The sequence below is a fragment of the Homo sapiens genome, chromosome 9 (genome assembly GCF_000001405.40).
Source record: "Homo sapiens chromosome 9, GRCh38.p14 Primary Assembly".
Classification (NCBI taxonomy): domain Eukaryota; kingdom Metazoa; phylum Chordata; class Mammalia; order Primates; family Hominidae; genus Homo; species Homo sapiens.
The window spans coordinates 38611006-38634994 of NC_000009.12; the positions used below are offsets into that span (position 1 = coordinate 38611006).

A 23989-nucleotide genomic window follows, 5' to 3' on the forward strand; every position below is an offset into this window, starting at 1 on the left:
TAAGAGAAGATGAATCCTACTATATACTGTTTTTTGTGTTGCTTAGTCCAAATAACTTCTTTTCTACCTGATTATTCATGTTACTTTTTACTATATGCCAATAATTATAAGTTTAATCTTATTAACATTTCTGACTTGAGTGACTGTTACCGCTCTAGAACACTCAGGTTTTTAGGAAAAAAGAAAACAAAAAACAAAAACTATTGCACCTTTTGAAATTGTCAACGGCATGTATATTTGCCTGGTTCTTCAATAAAAATTCCACCATATGCTGTCTCCTGGAATTTATAGCAAACAAAAGTGGAGTGTTTCCCTCCTGTAAGAAAGCAAAAACAATTTATAATTCACAAAATTACATATTTCTCCACTGAACTAAAAATCTTCTATAAGATGCTATGAACTTAAACATGCAATATAGAGAGAAAGTAAATGCAAAGCAGTCCCGTCCCTTTCACTCCTCTGTGCTTTCCCACACACTGCCTTGAAACACCCCTCCTCTGCCTCCCCACATTAACTTCAGTCATCTCCAAAACTCACTTTATTTACCAGTCCCCAAAATCCTTGCTTCTATCTCAGCATTTAGCACAGTCCATTGTAATTATTTCATTGTTTCCCACTGAAACCAAGAGATTCTCAAGGGCAAGGGCTGTATCTTTTTTCTCTATAACCCTAAAACCTAAGACATAGTAGCGAATGCTTTAAGTTTTTAAAATAAATTAATGATCTAAATTATTACCTCTAGAGAAGTGTTTCTTAAACTATATTTCAAAGAGTAGTTGTTTTACCGAAAGAACTGTACCCCAACAAAAAGATTCCATGATCATCTGCATTTGAGAAGTATTAAAAACTATATTACATGGCCAACAATCTAGAAATCCCTTGAACTTTGCCTAATCTCAATTTGACAATGCTTTTTGTGGCAAACATTAACATTTTAGGAACTAGAGTTTCAGGGATACAGTTGCCAGAGCTTCCCAATACAAGTGGAGGTTTCCTCTGGGTGGCACAAACTTGCTTGATTTATGTCTATCAATGGTCTCAGGATGCCAATGTCAGGCACTCCTGATCCAAAGGGGCCACTAAGGAAATGAGCTCTGAATTAAGAGAGATTGGCTTCAAATGCACTTATTTTCCTTATTATTAAATACTCCATGGGATTTCTCCTAATGCAAGAGGATAGATTTTTATCTTAACTATTAGAAAGCTCAGTATGTTCTGTGTAAGAGAGACCAGTTAAAACTTTTTGAAAATAAATATTAAAAAGCAAAGCTCAGTAAGAAATTCTATTCTCAATTATAATGATAATCCTGGGACGTTAATGCAACTTTACTTTTTAAATCCATTTGTATTGATTTCCATTTAAATTGCTATTTAACATTATTTTTTTTACTTTAGGCAAAATATAAATCAGAAATAAAAATACAATGGCTTATCAAAAAAAGTGCTAATACTGATGTATAGGGCTTGTTTCTAGCATAATAAGAGCCAATAAGTCACTTGCATTTTTTTCTTTTTCTTTTTTTTTTTTTGGAAATGGGGTCTCACACTGTCACCCAGGCTGCAGTGCAGTGGCATGATCTCCGCTCACTGCAAGCTCCACCTCCCGAGTTCATGCCATTCTCCTGCCTCAGCCTCCCAAGTAGCTGGAACTACAGGCACCTGCCACCACACCTGGCTAACTTTTTGTATTTTTAGTAGAGTTAGGGTTTCACCGTGTTAGCCAGGATGGTCTCCATCTCCTGACCTCGTGATCTGCCCGCCTCAGCCTCCCAAAGTGCTGGGATTACAGGTGTGAGCCATTGCACCCGGCCGTCACTTGCATTTTTAAGGGACATTGCTGAGAAGAAAGATATAATGTCTGCAATATTCATAATCTATCCACTTCTCAGCAGGAATAACCTAAAAGGGCTTCTAGGCATTCTTATGAGCAGATGACTATTTGTGGTATAGATATAAAAAAAGAGTTAAAAAAACTTCTGAATTCTAAAATTCAACTCTATAATTGAGGGATTTATATAAACTATAGACTATATATTATGAACCAATATATGCTGTCTTGAAAACCTTGAAATCTTTATGAAAATATATTATAAAAAAGGAGTTAAAGCTCAAATACTTATAAGGATGAAGGAGGTTACCTAAGTAAGTGAAGTACTCAGGTGGGCACAGTAGCAAACTGGAGAATATGTGCCTCCTACCCAGGGCAACCTCTGCGCAGCAGACCAAGCAGTGATGTGGTTCTGGGGACACCAGATTTGTTTCTTAAGCCTGAGGTCCAGACTTCTGCATGAGTCCACTAAAGTTTACATGTTGACTCAATTCAAAGAGGCAAAGAACAAATCTATACGCCACATTTAGACTATAGCTCTTGTGTTTTTATATTTGCTGTGAATGTGTTGCTAAATGATTGTGTATAAACCAAGTATTTGCATGTGGAACTTTTTCTCTGTCTAGTATCGTATGTTTAATAAAAAAACTCAGGCCCTGATATATACATAATAAAAATTGCTGTTAACACTCATAATACCCACCTCAAGAATTTTCCCAACATTTATTCATTTGCAATCTATGTGCATATAATTTTCCCAGATTGTTCACCAAATGGACAATTAGTTCATAGGAATGCTGAAACTAAATTATTAAAAGAATTCCTATTGTATTCTCACTGACTTCAAGGATTTCAGTGTTTAAAACTGACATCCTGATAATGCCAAAGCTCTATAAACTTAATAGGCATACTGAGATAGTCCCTAATACAACTGCAACTGAAACAAAAAGGTTCAAGATTTGCTACCGATCTAATTGAGAAAATCTCACTTGTAATGAACATTTGCTGACACATAATCACTTGAATGGTGACAAAGGAACATGAAATTGTGAAAGGGTCAGTCTCTACTTATTGAAAGATTACCCACAAGTAAATTGCTAAAGACTGTCTGAATGGCAGTGAGTGATTCATGGTGGGAAGCAAAAAGTGTTATTCTGTAAGCTGAGCGATATTGCCAATGATATTCCCTTTCACTTCCCAGTCACAAATGTAGAGAAAGACAGATAAGTCAGTTTAATGTTATTGGAAAAGAAAACTTTGAAGAAAGTAGCACCTATCGAATGCCAACTCTTTTAGAGATTTCTTATGTCTTTGACATACAGGAATTTATATCCTGCACTTATCTATTCTGTGCTTCTTAATCAGGAGTGTATTCGAACACTGAGGTTTTTTTTTTTTTTTTTTTTTTTTGCTCTTGTTGTGGTAAGAGACAAGAGTCTTACTATGTATTTTTAGTAGAGACGGGGTTTCACCATGTTAGCCAGGATGGTCTCCATCTCCTGACCTCGTGATCTGCCCGCCTCAGGCTGGACTTAAACTCCTAGGCTCAAGCAATCCTCCCACCTCAGCCTCCTGAGTAGCTGGGACTACAGGAACATGCCACAGTGCATGGCTTCAAGAAAATATTTTTAACCATACATGTTCAGAACTTATTAGATCTATTACATCAAAATCCTCAGGGGAAAGCCTACACTTGTAGACTTTTAACAAAATTTCCCCAGGTCATTGTAATGCACAATTCTAGCTGAGAATTACTGCAGCAGACAATCACTTCAGTTTCATCTCTCACCCACATGGCCAATATCCTTTATCAGCTTGGGATGTGGCCAGAGAGGAGTATGAGATAGAGTTATGTATTAAAATTCCAGTTAATTTTCCTGGGTGTGGGTATATCAGGGACAAGTAAACTCAAAATCCCAGTTGATTTTGCTATTTATAAGCTGCTTATCTCCCACCTTCTCATCAAGATATTCTAGATTTGAAAGGAGAGTTTAGACTCTTATCTAAGTTGCTGTTTTTGCCGGGATGGGTAATAAGTCAGTTACTAATTTGTTCCACCCTTTGCTGAAGTGTTTCTCACTTCATCACCGTATATTCACTGCCAATCTGGTTTCCTCAGAGTCCTCTAAAAATTAATCTTTAGGCAAGTTTCGGTCACTCTTTTTACCAAACCAAAAATGATTACCCCAAAGCTGAAGAGCGCTTTGTCTCAATACATAAACTGGAAAAACAACAAACTAAAAAACAAAACCTCTTCTTGGCATTTTCCCTCATTACCTAATTTCCAAGTGACCTGCATGTTTTTGATTGCTCTCCTTTTCCCTTTCTATTTTTCCCTGTTAAACCTTGCCCATGAAAGATACATCCATTTTGTTAGAAAACCGTCAGCAGCAGCAAGACTTCCATTTATTGTAAGTTGCTTTAGTTTTGAGTTTTAAGATAAAGCCTATTTCCAGGGTAATTTTTTCCCTGTGCTGTTTTTACACTAATTAGAAAAAAAATACACCTGGGGTAGGAAACAAATACTTGAAAAGAAGAAGTTTTACCTTAACAAATTCACAAATACTTCCCATACGTGCACTAAAATAGCTGTGCCCTCTAATGCTTCTTTAAAAGTATCAATATTTAAAGTAAAATTTTAGACAATTATTTCAAGACATTTTCATTCAGGAATACTTGAGTTCCAAATATGAAAAATTGACTCTTAACTATGTCAATATTAAAACAAACATTTTGAAAAGAAAGTTGATTGATCTGTACCTTGTTTAGTGCTTCAATATTTGCATGGTGGGAAAGCAGTCTTTCTGCCAGTGAAGTCCCCTTATTATACACGGCATAATGGAGAGCAGTGTTGCCGTAGATATCCTCAATGTTTGGATTGGCGCCACATTCCAGGAGAACGATGGCACAAGCCTCTTCCTGGCTGTGTACAGCCTATTAGTGTTAGATAAAAAACTAGACTATAAATTCTAAGAATTCAAAATACATATTCCACAGGTTTCACCAACTAGCTATATTTAAATGAGACAAATTCATTTTAATTCTATGTATTTAAATCAAATCCATTTCATGCTGAAAGAGTTGGCTACTATATACCTTCATTAAAGGTGTCCTGTTTAGTCTGTCACAGATGTCGATCTGGCATCTTCTGTGCAGCAAGAGAGTGACCACTTGCACACGGCCATGGGCACAGGCCAAATGTAGAACAGTCCTAGGAGAGCGAGAGGGGTTTTCAGGAAATGTAGTGCAATATCTCAAAACCTACAATGGTCCATGTCATTGTAAACATTGAATGGCATTATTCCTCTGCCTTCAAAACAAATAATTTTCTTTTGAAGAAAGTACAATATTTATTAGCTCTTACTGCTCCCTACCTTAATGAAACAGCAGCCTATTTGGATAGAATGAGCTTGGTGTTTGGATTCAGCTTAACTAGGGCTTGAGTTCTACTTTGAACTCGGTCACGTACCAGCTATTGCTTAGCCTTTCTGTGCCTGAATTTCCTCATTAATAAAGATGACCACAGCAGCTAGCTCACAGGACACCACTGTGATGCTTAAATGAAAATCTATGTAAAGCATTTAGAACTGTTTCCAGAACAAGCAACAACTCAATAACTGTTAGACTTTTGTTTGTTGAGACACGGTCTTGCTCTGTTGCCCAGGCTGGAGTGCAATGGTGTATTTATACCTCACTGCAGCCTGGCACTTGTAGGCTCAAGCAAACCTCCTGCCCCAGCCTCCTGAATAGCTGGGACCACAGGAGTGCACCAGCATGATCAGCTAATTTTTAAATTTTTTTTTGTAGAGTAGGAATGTCACCTTGTTGCCCAGGCTGGTCTCAAACTCCTAGCATCATGGGAACTTCCCACCTCAGCCTTCCAAAGTTCTGGAATGACAGGTGTGAGCCATGCACTCAGCCAGATGTTATAATTATATTACTAGTATTTAACAAAAATATTTTAATTAAGTAAAATGATACAATTATTGCTATTTTGCAGGATGATTTAAAGATTAGGTCACATTTTAGCATATCTGATATTGGAGTGGTATTTATAATTCATAATTTTTATATGGTAGCATTTATAATTGGTAGCATTTAAAAATCATCTTATTAATATAGAAAATAGTAGGGTATCACACAATCCATGAGGTCTTACATTAAGTAGAATACTGTATACACAGCAGGTCTAGGGCAATTCTAGGAATCTAATTGACACTTAAATACATTTTAATTCCTCAAAGTACCATGGGGAAAGAGCACTGAAATAACAACATATTTTTTAAACAAATTACTTCTTACTTTGATTTTTAAAAATGGGAAGCTGGCCGGGCCCAGTGGCTCACGCCTGTGATCCCAGCACTTTGGGAGGCCGAGGCAGGTGGATCTCTAGGTCAGGAGTTCAGGACCAGCCTGGCCAACATAGTGAAACTCTGTCTCTACTAAAACTACAAAAATTAGCTGGGTGCGGTGGCAGGCACCTGTAATCCCAGCTACTCGGGAGGCTGAGGCAGGATAATCACTTGAACCTTGGCAGCAGAGGTTGCAGTGAGCTGAGATCACGCCACTGCACTCCAGCATAGGCGACAGAGTGAGACTCTGTCGCAAAACGAAAAAACAAACAAACAAACAAAAAGAAACGTGAAGCTAAAGGAAACTCATGATTGAGATGAACAGGTATGGCTCATTTTAGTCAACACTTAGATTTACAGAATATATGCAAATCAGACTTTCCAATGATTAATATTAGTATTTAAGACTGATAAATTTTCAAAAGGGCAGTTAAAGGTTATCTCTTATTGTTTTCTACCTTCAGAAAGGCTTTTGCTTGAAAGGTGGGAGGAAAAGCTTCAGTGAGATTAAGTTCTACTATTCCTATTTTAAATCTCTCATCTTGCTCAGGCAGAACAGGTAAACATAAAGTTTTTAAGTATGGAAGGGTCCTGAGAGATAGTGCAAAATGTTTGCTACATAACATATTCGAGTTATGTTTGATGAATAAATGGATTGATAGAATACAGTTGGGGAGCTCAATATTTTTAAATACAACTTCTATAAACCAATATTTTTGTGATAGTAATAATATTTGCTATTTGTTATTTTGATAAGACTACAACTATAATGAAATGATTAATCTATCATTGTTTGCCTATATGTAATGAATCTATACATAAGAAAAACATATATACATAATAAAGTATATACATAAAATCTGCAAGCACAGATAAAAAGATTCCCTTTTTACTTCTGAAGAAGCTAAAAGTTCAAACCCTCACAATAATAATGATAAAAAATAGTGAGAAATTATTTTTATCTGTTCAAGAGTCATATTTCTCTTCCCAAAATTTATTCCATTAATAATAAATTTTTACTAGAAATTTTATAAATGCTCACTTCAGAAATCAAAGGTAAGAAAAAGGAACAAAAAACTTTAAAATACAAATGCTCAGAAGTTACAAATTTTATCCTATTTTGTGCATAGTATTGCCTAACACCAGACCATAGTATGTTTGTGTGTATGTGCAAGCAAACTGATTTGTTTTTCCTCACTGGCTGTAACAAAATGCATCTTCACATATCAACATACTTCTCCACCTATTGCCACCTTCAATGGCCACATACCATTCTATGGGTTCTTGTTAACATAAATGCTGGGGAAAAAAAGTGCATGTATCTCTATTTTCTGAAGGTATTTTAATACAATGGAATTGATGGGTAAAGGGCATATACATTTTTAAAATGTGGTAATTATCTCCAAATTATCCACTTGAAAAGTCATCAGCAACTTAAACTTCAAGCAGCAGTGTAAGTGCCACTGCTCTTCATTCTCACAAACACTGTGGATAGAACACAGTCTCACTCCTCTTTTAACTTATCTTATGAGAAACACTAAGGATTTTTTCCTATGTACATAAGTAACTTGTGAATCTGCAAAAAGTGCTTTGCTCACTTCTAGAGTTCTTTTCTTGTGGATTTGATTGGAAAGAATTCCCTGTAAAATAAAGATGTGCTTTTTATCTGTATATATATAACTGATATATATATATAACACATTATATTAGTAATATATACAATTTCTTATACATATAATCAGTAATATGTATTATATATAATAAAGAATAAATTCCCTGTAGGATGAAGATACACTTTTCATCTGAATATATATTTTTATATATTAGTAAAAATATATATAGGAAATATTTTTCGAGTGTGTTATCTTTTGTTAATTTTTTTCTGATACACAGGGGATTTTAATTTTTAGTTTGCTAAATCAACTTTCAGAATGCCTGCTTGCGAGGTCATTCTTACGAAGGCCTTTGTTAACATAAAATGTACCTGTATAAATAAGTCTTTGCGTTTTCTTCTGGTACTTTTTCTCATTTTGCATGTGTAAAAATTTCAGTCTGAATTCCATCAGGAACCCATTTTTGCGACATAAAGTTTCATTAGTTTTCTTCACACAGCAGGCATTTTATTAATAACTCATCTTTTCCTACTCATCTGAAACGTTACCATTATCCATCCCTATGTATATATCTTACATATATTTCAGTGTTTTTGGATTTCCTGTTCTGTTCCATTTATTTATCTGTGTTTTCAGCTGTTAGTAAATAATTAATTGTGGGAATTAATAGCACATTTTGATATCTAGAGGAGCAAGTCTTTTCACTCCATTATAAACATTTTTAAATGTCATCACAATGGTAAGATAGATAGCAAGTGTCATGCAAAAATGATAAAACCTTGATATCTTCATTCAGTTTATGTAAAACTGATAAACATGGAAACAGTTCATATTTTGAGAAAACTGAGTCTTCCCATTCAAGGAACCCACCTCGCGCTTCCCAGTGTCCCTCTAAGAAGCTCCAGTAAAGAACCTGTCTACCTAGGTGGATTCGGATGTAAAACCGACACAGGGTTTTATCTGAGAACTCTTCGCCTACTGAAAAAGGCTCATGGTATTTTTGACAGGGGAATGAGTTCTCATTAGGCACCTCCCTATCATGTATATGGCCCCATGTTTTAAACGTGGATATGCCTAACTTTGTGAGTTAAATCACTCAAATTTTCCACCAAGCGCGACGGACGGGGAATTGCCAGCGACGGAAAGCAGCTGAGGCTCCATTTGGCTCCGCTGCTCCGAGGGTGCCCGGCGCCCTCCAAGGTCCCCGCCCCAGGGGCTGCCGGGCTGCAGGGAAGCCGGGCCTGCGGCCCCCTCCCACCGCGGGCTGAGTCCCCGAGCTACCTGTCTTTTCTGTCGCGGGCGTCCAAGTCCCGGAACCTGCGCGTCAGGCAGCGCTCCACCTCCGCGGCGTCGCCCTTGATGGCAGCCCTGTGGATCTTCCGCAGTTCCCAGTCCCGAATGTCGTAACCCGGACCCGCATACTCTTGGTCCATGGAGCTCAGGAGCGCCTGGCCCAGGCGTCTCCCGAAGCTGAAGAGCTTCCTCATGGTGGCGACTTCTCAGACGCCCACCACCCGCTCCTGAGCCGCGGCGGCTCCTCGTGGCCTTTCCACCCCCACTCCGCCCCAAATCCGCGATCTCCCCCGCAACCCGCGATCCCCCCCGCAACCCGCGATCCACCCCCAAATCCAAGATCCACCCCCAAACCCGCAATGTAGCTCAGAATCCGCGATCCAGCCCGGTCCACCACAGCCTTCAGCAGCGACACTCGCAGACTCCGACCTCTCAGACCGAGTGAGCCCAGCTAAGCCGTTAGGCGCGCGCCTGAACCTCAGCGCTCCGAACTCTCAGACCGAGTGAGTCCCCGCGATGCCAGTTAGGCGCGCGCCTACAACTCAGCGCCAGCCGGGACTCCGGAAGCCGCTCCCAAGCCCTCGTGGCCGGCAGGGGGCACCTGCAGCACGGGCGCACGCGTCGCTGGCTTGCGGGTTCTCCTGGGCTCCCGCGGGACGTCCCGGAATCCCAGGAGTGCATCCCTTCCCGCCTGAGGGCCTGCCTGGCCCTGACTCCCGACCCGCTCCTCCTCCGAAGAGAGATCGGGGCCGCTGACAGGGGCCCTCCGCAGCCACCGGGGATGGGACTGGGGGGTCGGTTCCTGTCCCGGTGCAGCCGCCGCCGGGTAGACCGCCTGGCTTGGCCGCAGCCAGGGCGACATGTAGCCCCGGTTCTGCCAGGCTGGGAGCGCCAGCCATCTTGGGAGTTGCCAGGCAGCTGTCGCCAGCAGGTAGAGGGCGCCTGCAGCTTGGGCGCCCAGGTGGTGGAGCACGGCCTAGGCGGCCTCTGGATCGCGAGTGCACCTGGCCTGAGAGCCCGCCAGGCCCTGCCCCTGCTCGGCTCCTCGTCTGCTGAAGCTCGGGACCTCTAGCCAGTGGCCCTCTGCAGCCACGGGGAATGGGGCTGAGAGCCGGTTCCCGCTGCAGGGCAGACCACCTAGCTCAGCCGCAGCCACAGGGACATCTGGCCCCGGTTCTGAGATGTGGGGAGTGCTGGCGGGCTCGGGGGTTGCCTGGAGGCTGCTGCCTGCACACAGAAGGCGGATGCAGCTTGGGTGCCCAGGCGGGCTGGAGGTGCATGGCCTGGTCGGCCTCGGGATCGCCAGCGCGCCCAGCCTGAGGGCCCCCAGGCCGTGCCTCCCGCCCATTCCTCCACCGGAGGGGGATCGGGGTCGCTGGCATGGGCACTTGGCAGTCACTCCGGATGGGGTTGAGCAGGGGTTCTCAGTTTTCGCCCCTGTGCAGCCGCCGCCGGGCAGAATGCCTGGCTTGGCCGCAGCCACTGCTACACCTAGCGGGTCGGGCGGGCCGGGGGGTGAAAGCGCTGGGAGGCGGGTGCCTTCTCGCCCTGTGGCGCCTCTGGGCCCCACGGCTTGTCGGCCTCCGGCGCGCAGGGCTCCCCAGCATCCTGGGCGCCGGCCCGCTGCCTGCACAAAGTCAACTCAGACAGGATGAACTTCGGTTGCCTTGTCTGGCTGGGCTGCCAGGCGGGGCAGCTGACCTGCTGATGGGGTGACTTTCTTCATCTTCTTGCCCACAGGACAGCGGGCTGGGAAGCCAGGGGCCGCCGGGACCTGGGGCTGGAAACCACATCTGCCCACAGCCGCAGCCTCCTGCACCTGTCATCCTGGCGGCGCCCTGACGTCGGAGAAGCAGCAGGCGCGGAGCTCCTGCAGCGGGCACCGCTGCAGCAACCCGACCCGGCGCAGGCGGCAGTGGAAGGCGGCCTGCTAGCACGGCTCCCGCGGCCCCAGGACCAGGGGTGCGGCCAGCACCGCCCTCACTCCCCGCGTCTCGTGGATATTGCCCTCCCTGGAGGCGGCTGGACCTAAGCGAGGCTCGCAGCGATCGGCCCCGCGAAGACTCGCATGCAGGGCTCAGGATCCCGCATTCTGGCGCCGCGGCACCGCACCTTTCAGCAGCCCTGCTCCTCTTCTTGTTGGTAAACTTTTGTCACTCTGCCATGAAAAGCATCCAGGCGTCCTTGATTTCGACATTGCGTGCACGCTCAGCCGAGCTCATCAGACGGGCGGTTGTCCCCAGAGCCCGCGGGTAGCTTGTTCCCGGGCGGCGGCTCCTGCTGGATGCAGCTCCTTGTGGGCCTACCAGGCTTGGTGGAGCCACAGCAGACCTGTGGAGAGGAAGAGTAAGGCGGGCTCTGCAGGGCAGTGGGCCGGGACCATGAGAGAGGCGGGTCAGTCTGGGCTCCAAGCTCAGCCTCTCGGATTCCCCGGGACCCACGGCTTATAATGCGCTTAAATCCCACGCCTCGCCCGAGAGACAGCACGTCACCGTCACCGTCACCGCCTAGCGCCCCTGACCCGCTCCCACTCCGCTGCAGCGGAGGGTGTGTGAGGGAGAGGGACGCAGGGAGGGAAAAGCGTTGGGAGGGCAAACATCTTTTCATAAGCTTTTCCCCTTCTATATGCCATCTCTGATGGGAGCCTCTTTAGATCTTTCGTCCATTTACTAATTGGGTTGTTCGATTTCTTATTGTTGAGTTGTAAGTGGTTTTTAATGGTCTGGATGCCAGACAGGTGTTTTGCAAATATTTTCTCCGTCTGTGGCTTGTTTCTCCATTCTCTTATTTCCTTTCCCAGAGCAAAAGTTTTTAATTGTAACGACTTCATACCAATATCTTCTTTCATGGTAGAAATTTGTCTTTTATGTACTTTACTGTTGTATCTACAAAGTAATTGCCAAACCCAAAGTTACCTAAATATCCCTTTTGTTATTTTACAGAAGTTTTACAGCTTTTGGATTTAAATTTAGGTCTAAAAATTGAATTCATAAAAGTAGAGAGTATAATGATGCTTACCAGAGGCTGTGTTGCTGGGGAGAAAAATGGGAAGTTGTTCACAGATGCAAAGATTCAGTTAAACCGGAGAAATGCGTTTTGAAATCTATTGCACAGCAGGATGACTATAGTCAATAATAATGTACTGTATATTTAAATAACAAAAAGTAAATTTCAAATATCTAACCACAAAAAATAAAATTGAGGTGATGGGTATTTTTTATTTTATTTATTTATTTGTTTATTTATTTATTTTTTTGAGACAGAGTCTCGCTCTTTCGCCCAGGCCGGACTGCAGTGGCAGGGTCTCGGCTCACTGCAAGCTCCGCCTCCTGGGTTCACGCCATGAGGTGATGGATATTTTATCCTCGATGTAGTCATTCCTCATTTTATACACATATCCAAGCATCACATTGTACCCCATAAATGTATGCAATTGTGGTTTGACAATTTAAAATATTATTAACTTAAAAATGTGTCGTTCGAGTTAATTTTTGAGGAGCAAGGTCTGTGTCTCAATTCTTTTTTTTTTTGCATATATGTATATATACATACACGCAATGTATTCATCACTGTTTTTGAAAAAGCTACCCTTTCTCCCTTGAATTGCCTTTACCTTTTTGTAAAAGATCAATTGACTGTGTTTGTGCACTCTTATTTCTGAGTTCTCTATTCTGTTCCGTTGATCACTTTGCAAGTCCTTGAACTTTGTTCCTCCCCCACAATATTGTTGGCTATTCTTGTTAGTTTGTCTTTCTATATAAACTTTAGAATTAGTTTGTCAATTTCCACACAATAATTTATTCATGTTTTCACGAGAGTTGTAATGAATTTGTAAATCACACTGAAGAGAACTGACATCTTAACAACACTGGGTCTTATTTTGTGAATACAGATGTCCCTTCATTTATTTAGATCTTTAATCCCTTTCAACAGATTTTATAGTTTTTCTCACATAGACCCTGCCCATATTTTGCTAGATTGTGTCTATTTCATTTTCTTGATGCTAATGAAAATGGTATTGGGCTTTTAATTTCAAATTCTCGTTGTTCATTGCTGGATGTAGGACAGCAATTGATTTTGTATATTAACCTTATACCGTGCAACCTTGCTATAATCCAGAAGGGTTTTTGGCTGATGCTTTGAGATTCTCTACATAGAAAATCAAGTTATCAGCAAGCAAAGGGCATTTTAATGCTCCCTTTCCAATCTGTATACCTTTTATTTTATTTTCTTGTCTTATTGCATTAGCTAGGATTTTAGTATGATGTTGAATAGGAGCAGTGAGAGGGGATAACATTTCCTTGCTTCTTTTGTGTAAAACATCCCATTTTTCACATTATGTATGATATTGTCTGTAGGATGTTCTTTTGGTATATGTTCTTTATCAGTTGAGGAATTTCCCTTCTATTTCTAATTTGCTGAGAGTTTTAACCATGAATGGGCTTTGGATTCCGTAAAATGCTTTCTTGATCTATTAATATAATCAAATAACTTTTCTTCTTTAGCTAGTTATCTGAGGGATTGCCTTAACTATTTTGTGTTAAGCCAGGCTTGCATACCTGGAATAAATCTCACTTGGTCTTGGTGTGTAATTCAACAATGTATTGCTAGATTCAGCATGCTAATATTTTGTTGAGAATTTTTGATGAGAGACATTTGTCTGAACATTTTTCTTTAAATGTCTTTTTCTGCTTTTGGTATTAGAACTTCATAAAATGAGTTGGGATATGTTCCTTTTGCTTCTGTTTTCTGGTAGCAATTGTAAATAATTGGTATCTTTTCCTCCTTAAATGTTTCATACAATTCGCTAGTGAAACAATCTAGGCCTGTTGCTTTCTTTCTTGGAAGGTTGTTAATTATTCATATATTTCTATACTAGATAAAGAGTTATTTGAATTATCTATTTCTCCTTTTGTAAGTTCTATGGACTACATTTTTGTGTCTCCCCAAAATTCAAGTGCCAAAATCAATCCTCAATGTGATGGTATTTGAGGTCCTTTGAGAAGTGATTAGGTCATGAGGATGGAGCCCTCATAGGTGGGATTAGTGGTTTTTTCTAGAAAGGTTCCTCACCCCTTCTGTTATGTGAGAACATATTGAAAAGATGGCTTCCATGAGCCAGAAATTGAGTCCTCAGCAGACATGAAATCTGCTGATGCCTAGAATTGATGTTGGATTCCCTAGCTTCCGGAACTATGAGAAATAAGTTTCTGTGTTTATAAGCCACCCAGTTTATGGCATTTTGGTATAGCATCCTGAACAAACTAAAGGAGTTTTGGTAGTTTGTGACTTTCAAGATATGGATCCATTTTGTCCAAGTAATCAAATTTGAGAGCACATAGTGTTTATACTATTCATTTATTATCCTTTTAACGCCCATGGCATCAATACTGATAACCTTTCATTTCTGATACTAGTAATTTTTGTCTTCTGTTTCTGTTTCTCATTTGTCTCCTCTCCTCCATTTCCCATCCTCTTTCTGCCTCTTCTTCATCCCCTTCTCCTCCTCCTCCTTTTCCTCCTTCTCCTCCTCCTCCTCCTTCATTATCTTCTTCTTATCCATTAGATTATATAAAAGTAAGCAAAATAGAGATTTTATTTTACCTTCATGTATTCCTTCTCTAAGCTCTCCCTTCTTTATGTAGATCCAAATTTCTTATAATTTTTCTTCTTCCTGAAACTCTTCTTTGAAATTTTTTACGAAGTAGGTCTGCTCGTGACACATTTCTTCAGTTTCTGTTTGTATGAGAAAGTATTTTTTCTCCTTCACTTTTGAAGGATAGTTTTACTAGATACAAAAATATCAGTTGATTATATTGTTCTTTCAACATTCTAAATATTTCAACTTACTCTCTTTTGATTGGATGGTTTCTGACAAGAAGTCCTATGTAAATCCTATTCTTGCTTCTTTATAAATCAAGTCTTTTATTCCATTCACTTTCAACAATTTGTCTGTCTTTGATTTTCTGAAGTTGAAATATAATTTGCATATGAGTATATATTTTTGGTATTTTTCTGAACTTCCTGTATTTGTGGTTTCAACACGTAATGTTGTAAAATTCTCAGTCAGTATTACTTCAAATACTTATCTGCATTTTTTCCTCTTTCTTCTCTTTCTAGCAATCCCATTGTGCATGTGCTACATGCTACAACAATTATTGAATATTCTGTTCTTTTTTCCCATTGTTTTCTCTTTGCATGTCAGTTTGGGAAGTCTCTATTGACATACCTTCAAGATGACTGATGTTGTTCTTGACCGTGTTCAGTTCACTGATAAACCTATTGAGGACATTCTTCATTTCTGTTGCAGTATTTTGTTTTCTAGCATTTTCTTTCTTTTTTTTTTTTTTTTTTAAGAAAAAGGGCTTAATTTATGTCACTGAGGCTGGAGTGCAGTGGTATGAACATAGCTCACTGTAGCTTCAACATCCTACGATTTAGGAATTCTCCCACCTCAACCTCTGGGACCACGGGCATGTGCCACTATGCCTGGCTGGTTATTTGGTTTTTTTTTTGTTTTTTTGTTTTTTTGTTTTTTTAAGAGAAGGGTCTTACTTTGTTGCCTATGCTGGTCTTAAACTCCTGGACTCAAGTGAGCTTCCTGCCTCAGCCTGAGATTATAGATGCGAGCTGGGATTATAGATGTGAGCCACTGCATCCAGCCAAAATTGATACATTTAAAATATACTGTTTTTAATATAAATGGAAGATGGAGAATCACTATGAGTATTTCATTAATATTTTGTGGGAAGCCTAATAAAAATGAAATTTTCTGTGAGTGTACCTCACCCTTCCAAATGTTGAGCCACTTCTCCAAGGGACAGTTCTTCGGCTGATTTTTGGTGTTTTATCTTCCGCCAGTAGTGAAATGAATGACATGACTTATGGCCCAAGGCTTTACTCAGAAGCTTGGTGCCTGTTACCAGCGCTGCTGGGAGCTCCTGAGGTAGACACAAAGGCCAGGTGTCAGGGAGACTACCCAAGAGCAAAGAGCCGGAGAGGGGAGGCATGTGCTGTTGGACAAAATTGCCATCACTAGGCGGGTACTGTGAATCCAACATAGATCTGAGTCAGGTTCCATATGCAGGGTTCGGGGTGAGTGCCTGGGATCACTCTGTGGCTGGAATTCTCCAGAAACCTGGTTTATACAGTGTAATTGAAACTTGAAGCAGCATCTGATGCACCTTAGATGATTAGAACTGATTAGAGGTTCTAGGCTGATTAGAACTAGGTGATTGGAACACGGTCTGGCTAGGAAGGAAGGGACCATGCGCATCAGGGCGGAGACTGCAGGTGGGCAGATGGCCATCACAGCCCAGCGGGCTGCCCTTTACTCTCCTCCAGGCCCAGGAGACTAAACACACTTGAGTCGCAACTGCCTCTGGGCGTGGGAACTGTGGTCTTGTTTCCAGTCACCTGTCCCAGCAAGAAGGAGCTTCCGTTGTGCTTGCAGACTTGACCTTACTAGTCTGGGCTGGGGAGTTCTGTGTCTGCCCATGGCTGGTCATTATTGTCTACAAAACCTGCTGTGTGATCTGTAAGAATTTTTGTGACTAGCTAGCTCAAGGGCATGATGACATGCCTATGCTATTGCTGAGGGAATATCTCTATTTTCAGGTGAAGATTGTTTCTAATTTTATGTTCAGAATTACATACAAGAGGCACAGTGGAGGTATATAAATGAAGATCCACCAGCATTCTTTCAAAATACTGAACCACATTTTCTGATAGACATTGGGGTGGGGTGGCTGCAAGCAGAATGTCTGGGTTGGCATTCTCATTCCACAGCTTCATGCGGTGTGATAGTGAGTAATTTACTTTCCCTCTCTGTGTCACAGTTTCCTATTCTCTAAAAACAGCTAATAATAATGACCTACCTTATAGACTGTTATGAAGATTGAATTAATTTATATATGTAAATAAGACTTGGAACATAAATTTTCTGCACATTTTTTTTTGTTTTTTTGAGACGGAGTCTCACTCTGTCGCCCAGGCTGGAGTGCAGTGGCCAATCTCGGCTCACTGCAATCTCTGCCTCTTGGGTTCACGCCATTCTCCTCCCTCAGCCTCCCGAGTAGCTGGGACTACAGGCACCCGCCACCATGCCCGGCTAATTTTTTGTATTTTTTTAGTAGAGGCGGGGTTTCGCCGTGTTAGCCAGGATGGTCTCAATCTCTTGACCTCGTGATCCGCCCGCCTCGGCCTCCCAAAGTGCTGGGATTACAGGCGTGAGCCAGCGGGCCCGGCCGATTTTCTGTAAATGTTAGCCATTGTTATTGCTCCTATTGACCTGAAGTATAAAAACAGAAATGTGACCCTGGTCCTTGACCTTGGGTGGAATCACATGATAAGCAATAGTTTAGGGAAAATGTTTGTACCGGGTATTTTCATTATTCAAAATATTATTAATAATAATGTGCTATTAAGATAATGTTACAAAATTAAAATATTGAAAAGAAGCCTCTGGTACAGAATCAGAAAGTCTTACTGTGCATGTGTGTATTTTGACTTTCTATAATTCCTCTGTCAATCATAAGCTTTGCAGATTTCAGTTATCTGGGTCAACTTGCCAGTAGTAACTGCTTTGGTCTCCCCATCTCTAACGCACCTCATGATCTATTTGCTGTCCTGCTGCTACAGTAACCCTGCTACAGTTCTCTTACCTGAAGATCTTCCTTTCCCAGGAAAACATTTCACACTTTCCCTGACAACACATCACACACACACACACACACACACACACACACACACACACCATAAACACCCCCCATACACACACACCACACACCAAAAACTCACACATTCTACACACATCACACACATGAACACCCCAGCACACACATATTCATACCACAAATACCACACACACCACACACACATCACACCCACCACCTACACTAACATACATACCACACACACACCAAACACACATTCCACACACATACTCTGAACACCCCAATACACGCACACTCATACCACATGCACACCACACACATCAAACTCATACACACTGCACTCACTTCCTACATCCACACACACCACATACACACACCACATGCATCACACACACACACAAACACTCCCGCATACACTCACACTCACAGTATTAAACAATACCACACACTGATGCATTCCACACACACACACCATAGACACCCCAATACACACATACTCATACCACACATACCACACATACCACCCCCACACACACCACATGCACATCACGCACACTCTCACAAATACAACACTCACTACCTCCACTCACACACATGCCACATACACACACACCATACACACCACATGCATAAAACACACACCAAAAACACTCCCTATACACTCACACTCACGTACCACACATAAAACACACACACATTCCACACACACACCGTGAACATACACACACTCATCACACACACCACACACATCACACAAACTCTCACACACCACTCCTACACACACACCACATACACAGACACCACACACACCACCGCCATCCCTGATACACTCACACTCACATACCACAAACACACCACACACACCTTCCACACACACACACCACAAACATCCCCCATACACCCACATACCACACACACACCACACACTCCACACACACACCATGGACACCCCATGCATACACTCAGATCACACCCACACACCAAGCCCACTACACTCCATATATACTCACATACGCCACATAAACACAAACCACCCACACCCACACACACACACATCACACTCACTCCTTGAAACGCTTCTCTTCACTCACTGATCCCTTCCTGACCCTAATCCACACCCACCGGGCTCCCCAGGCTTTCTTCCACCAGGACCTCCATAGCCCCTCCCTCCAGGGACTTCTCTCCACTCTAGGCTCCCTATGGAGCCTCCGTTCCTTCTGCAGCTCTCGCTCCCCACCTCCCCATGCATTTGCCTCACTGATTGCGCTGGACCATCTTGGTGGTTTTTCCAGTGTGTCCCCCGTGGTAGGTCTCCTCACATACACTGCAGGCCCCTTTTGACAAGCCCACATCCTGGCACCGGCAGTTCCTTGGGCATTGTACATCCCTGCACGTAGGACCGCGTCTGGCACACAGTGTGCACTCAGCTATAATTTCAGAGCGTGAATGCTCACAGGTATTAGGATCAACGTTCAGAAGGTGCTTTCCTTTTTACTGAACCTGTGGCCTACTTGATTTACCTGATAGCTTGTAATTCAGTTCATTAAATTTCTGTTAAAATATTAATACACCAGGTGAATCTCAATATTATTGCTGCAAATTATGTTTTCATTAAGATGGACAAAGACTATTAATAAGCCACATTTGCAGGGCACTGAGTTAGAGAATTAGCCTAGAAGACTGAAGTCTTCAGTGATTTCTGTTTATATCAACATACAGAAGAAAAAGGATAGAAACGACAAGCGTATAGAAATGAGATTAGAAACTGAAAAAAATTAATAGTTTTGTAAAATTAGCTAGGTGATGTACAAATTCCATATAAAATCTCTATTTTTCATTTGGGGTGCAGTGTCTCAGGATTTTTGCTTCCTAACTGACTAATTGGAGTGTTGTACCATGATTACATTGCCAAGACTAATAGCATCTGCACTAAATATTTTTTTGAGATTTTGTTGAGGTTTACTTGACATATACAGAAAAGCGCACATTGAAAATGTGCAGGCTGGGGGCGGTGGCTCACAGCTGTAATCCCAGCACTTTGAGAGGTCAACACAGGATGATTGATTGAGTCCAGCAGTTTGAGACCACCCCGGGTAACACAGAAAAAAACCCTCTCTCTACAAAAAATACAAAAATGAGCAGGACATGGTGGCCCGCACCTGTGGTCCCAGTTACTTGGGAGGTGGAGGTGGGAGGATAGCTTGAGCCCGAGAGGTCGAGGCTGCTGTGAGCCATGATTGCACCACTGCACTCCATGCATCCTGCCTGGGAGACAGAGTGAGATCCTGTGTTTTACTAAATAAATAATAAAAGGTTCAATTTGGTAAGTTTTAACGTAGGTATAGAACTCTGAAACCATTACAACCATCAAGATTACCAACATATTTCTTGTTTTCTTTTTTTTGGGGGGGGATGGGGGGAGAGTGTTTGGCTCTGTCACCCAGGCTGGACTACAGTGACACAATCTTGGCTTACTGCAATGTCTGCTTCCCAGGCTCAAGCGATCCTGCCTCCTTAGCCTCCCCAGTAGCTGGGACCACAGGAGTGTGCCACCACACCCTGCTCATTTTTGTGTCTTTTGTTTGTTTGTTTGTTTGTTTGTTTGGTGTGTGTGTAGGCACTGGGTCTCCCTGTGTTACCTGGGCTGGTCTCGAACTCCTGGGCTCAAGCGCTGCACCCACCTCGGCCTCCCAAATCACGCCGGGATTACAGGCGTGAGCCCCCGTGCCCAGCTATACATATAATTTCTAAGCACTTTCTTGCTTCTCTTTCCCTCCCACTTCTCCCAGCCTTCCCCATTCGCATGCAACAACTGGAAATAATTTTGATTTAGAATATAAACACACTTTATATGTCTAAAGAGATAACAGGGAAAATGGAAATAGTAAGAGACTTATTTTTTATATCAAAATTATCAAGTAAAATTGAAAAAGAACAGTATTTAGAATGAAAATTGAATTACAGAAATGAAGAATTTAGTGGATTCTGAAACAGCAGATCAAACGTACATGAAGAGAGACTCAGCAAATTAGAAGAAAGCTCTGAAATGGCTGGGAGCAGTGGCTCACGCCTGTAATCCCAGCACTTTGGGAGGCCGAGACGGGCAGATCACGAGGTCAGGAGATCGAGACCATCCTGGCTAACACGGTGAAACCCCGTCTCTACTAAAAATACAAAAAAATTAGCCGGGTATGGTGGTGGGCACCTGTAGTCCCAGCTACTGGGGAGGCTGAGGCAGGAGAATGGTGTGAACCCAGGAGGCAGAGCTTGCAGTGAGCCGAGATCGCGCCACTGCACTCCAGCCTGGGTGACAAAGCAAGACTCAGTCTCAGAAAGAAAAAAGAAGAAGAAGAAGAAAGCTCTGAAATAATTAACCAGCATGCACAATAAAGAGACAAGAATTGGGAAATGTGGAAGAGATGTTAAGGGATGGGGGGAAGAGGAAACACTGGAGAGATAATCTGCAGGAATGTCCATCTATGTGACTAGAGATGGGCACTGTTGCTGTAGCATTGTACAGCATCGCACTGTCGAAGGGAAAGCATCTCTACAATGAGAAATTGTATGGGTTCATTCACAAAATGTTTTGTCTAGTCTAGAAATATTATGTCTCTTTATCACAAACTCTCCTTTTAAAAATATAGGTAATTATACATTAAGAGAATTTTGTAAAGAACAGTATGCATAGCTGAAATATATTTGGCATCATTTATTGAACACTCCCTCTGCATATTAAAGTCTGGGTCACACAAACAAAATAGTCACATAGGGGCTGCTGTCAGCCAGTGAAAAGAAATACTAAATCTATTGACTGAACTCAACACGCTGACAGAAAGGCATGCTGAAATAGACAATGTGGAAGAAAAAGTCAATTCAACCAAAACAAATGTCCCTAATCAAATAGGAAGCTTGGCTTTCAGCAAAGTAATTTCGGGAAAATGAACACATGATTTAACCCCTCAATCATATCATTTGTCTATCAACCCAACGTTCTCACCTTAGGCAGCACAGAGTACCAGATTCTTCAAGGAAGATGAACAACCGTCATTACATGGGAATAACTCATGCAATGTTACACACCGATTGAAAAAGGAAAAGTATTTCTGTGAATGATGTGCAGTAACTAAATCAATTTTTTTTTTTTTTTTTTTTTTTTTTTTTTTTTTGAGACGGAGTCTCGCTCTTTCGCCCAGGCTGGAGTGCAGTAGCGCTATCTCGGCTCACTGAAAGCTCCGCCTCCCTGGTTCACGTCATCCTTCTGCCTCAGCCTCCTGAGTAGCTGGGACTACAGGCGCTCGCCACCACGCCTGGATAATTCTTGTATTTTTAGTAGAGATGGGGTTTCACCATGTTGGCCAGGCTGGTCTAGAACTCCTGACTTCGTGACCCGCCTGCCTCAGCCTCCCAAATTACAGGCATGAGCCACTGTGCCTGGCATATGTATTTCTTTCTGAAGATTTGTTTTTGTTGGCAAGATTGTTCTTTTTTGTTTGCTTGTTTTGTTTGCTTATTTGTTCGATGATATATTTTTCTTTCTTCCCTATATGCACATTTATTGAAGTGTAGCAAACTAAAAAGTGCACAGATCATGAATGTCTAGCTCCACGTATTTTTCCAAGGCGAACCACCACGCAGATTAACTCTTAAGAGAATTATCAGCACCCTTCAAAGCCTTCTTGTATCTTCTCCCAGTCACAATTCTTTCCTCCCATCTTGCCAAACTATAAGTTAGTTTTATATCTTTTTTAAACCTTTTTATAAGTGAAATCGTCCTATGTATACTATTTTGTTCAACATTATGTTAGTGAAATATATTCGTGTTATTGTTTGTAGTAGTGTTTCGTTTACTTCAATATCTACATAGAATTCCCATTGTGTGTAAATACAAATAGGGGATGGTTAATATTTTTAAATTCTTGAAATTTTTATTGAAATAATTGTAGATACACATGCAGTAGGTAGTGCAAAATAATACAACGAGATCACATGTATTCTTTACCTGGTTTCCCCCAATGGTAACATTTTGCAAAACTATAACAACCAGGACATTGACATTGATACAATCTACCAGCCTTGTTAAAACTTTCCGTGTTTTATTTGTATTTTGTGTGTCCATGTGTGCACATAGCTCTCTATAACTATGCCACACGTCTTGGCTCCTGAATCCACCACCACAGTCAACCCAGGGCAGCCTATCCCCTCAGAATTCTCTGGTGCTGTGCCTTGAAAATCACACCGACCCCCTTGCAATGCCCCCCTCCACTGTCCCTAATCCCTGGCAACTCCCAATCTGTCTCCATCTCTAAATTTTTCGTTAAAAAATGTCATACAAATGAAATCATAGTGTTTAACATTTTGGGATTCGACTTGTTTTACTTGGCTTAATTCCCTGGAGATTTGCCCCAGTTCTTGTTTATACCAATAGTTTGTTCCTTTTTATTGCTGGGTAAGTATGTCATGTTGTGGATATACCACAGCTTGCTGAAGCATTCACCTGATTAAGAATATTTGGGCTGATACTATTTTTGACAGACGACACCTGAAGCTGCTATGGACACGTCTGTGCAGGTTTTTGTGTGAACGTAAATCTTCATTTATCTGAGATAAAAGCCAAAGAGTGCAATGGCTGCATTGTATAAATCACATGCTTAGTTTTTAAGGAATCTACCAAATTATTCCCCAGACTGGTTGTACCATTTTACATTCCCACCAGCAATGTGTGAGCACCCCACATTCTCTGGATTCTCAACAGGCATTTGGTGGTGTCAGCATTTATTTTTAAGTTTCTCTAATAGCTATGTGCATTTAACTGATCGCTAATGATTTAAAACACTGTCTCACATGTTTATTTTCCATCTATACCTCCTCTTTAATGAGAGGATCCTCTTTTCTTCTTTCTAAATATCAAGAGCTCTTTTTATATATTGTAGCATAGATCCTAGTCCTTTGTCAGAAAATAGCATTTTTTATTTAAATACGGTCAATTTTGGTAAGGGTCCCACATGCACTTACAACAAATTATATTCTGTAAGTATTGGTTGCAGGGCTTTCTGTGTGTCAAGTTTGTAATCAAGTTGTTCAAATTGACATTTCTATTGATTGTTTTGTCTGATTGGAGCATCAGTTTTAGAGAGGTAAGTTAAAATCTTTATAATGTTGAATGTTCTTATTTTGGTTTGCAGTTTGGTCAATTTCTGTGTTCCATATTTTGAGAATATATTATTATTT

General features: G+C 41.7%; 1 protein-coding gene and 1 long non-coding RNA gene across 10 annotated transcripts in view, besides 2 other annotated features; one reads left to right on the top strand and one right to left on the bottom strand.

Annotated features, from left to right (window-relative positions):
- Window positions 1-9591, bottom strand: part of ANKRD18A (ankyrin repeat domain 18A) — a 54446-nt gene extending 44855 nt beyond the window's left edge. For all 9 annotated transcript variants that reach the window (XM_024447483.2, XM_024447481.2, XM_024447480.2 and 6 more), the window contains exons 1-4: window positions 9075-9591; window positions 4925-5039; window positions 4589-4762; window positions 210-316 (exon numbers count right to left, since the gene is read on the bottom strand). In XM_024447483.2, the coding sequence (XP_024303251.1) occupies window positions 210-316; window positions 4589-4762; window positions 4925-5039; window positions 9075-9280 (602 nt within the window). In that variant the 5' untranslated portion in view covers window positions 9281-9591. The remainder of the gene's footprint in view (window positions 1-209; window positions 317-4588; window positions 4763-4924; window positions 5040-9074) is intronic.
- A 491-nt stretch (window positions 9592-10082) lies between these two features.
- Window positions 10083-12279, top strand: FAM201A (family with sequence similarity 201 member A). Its single transcript, NR_027294.1, has 2 exons — window positions 10083-10360; window positions 10827-12279. It is a non-coding gene; the product is annotated as a family with sequence similarity 201 member A (long non-coding RNA).
- Window positions 10237-10356: an enhancer, noted in NCBI's record as "active region_28417". NCBI's record gives its function as "activates an Ori minimal core promoter by ATAC-STARR-seq in GM12878 lymphoblastoid cells {active_cell/tissue: GM12878}" and the evidence as "EXISTENCE:reporter gene assay evidence [ECO:0000049][PMID:35858748]".
- Window positions 11009-11218: an enhancer, noted in NCBI's record as "active region_28418". NCBI's record gives its function as "activates an Ori minimal core promoter by ATAC-STARR-seq in GM12878 lymphoblastoid cells {active_cell/tissue: GM12878}" and the evidence as "EXISTENCE:reporter gene assay evidence [ECO:0000049][PMID:35858748]".
- Window positions 12280-23989: the final 11710 nt, after the last annotated feature.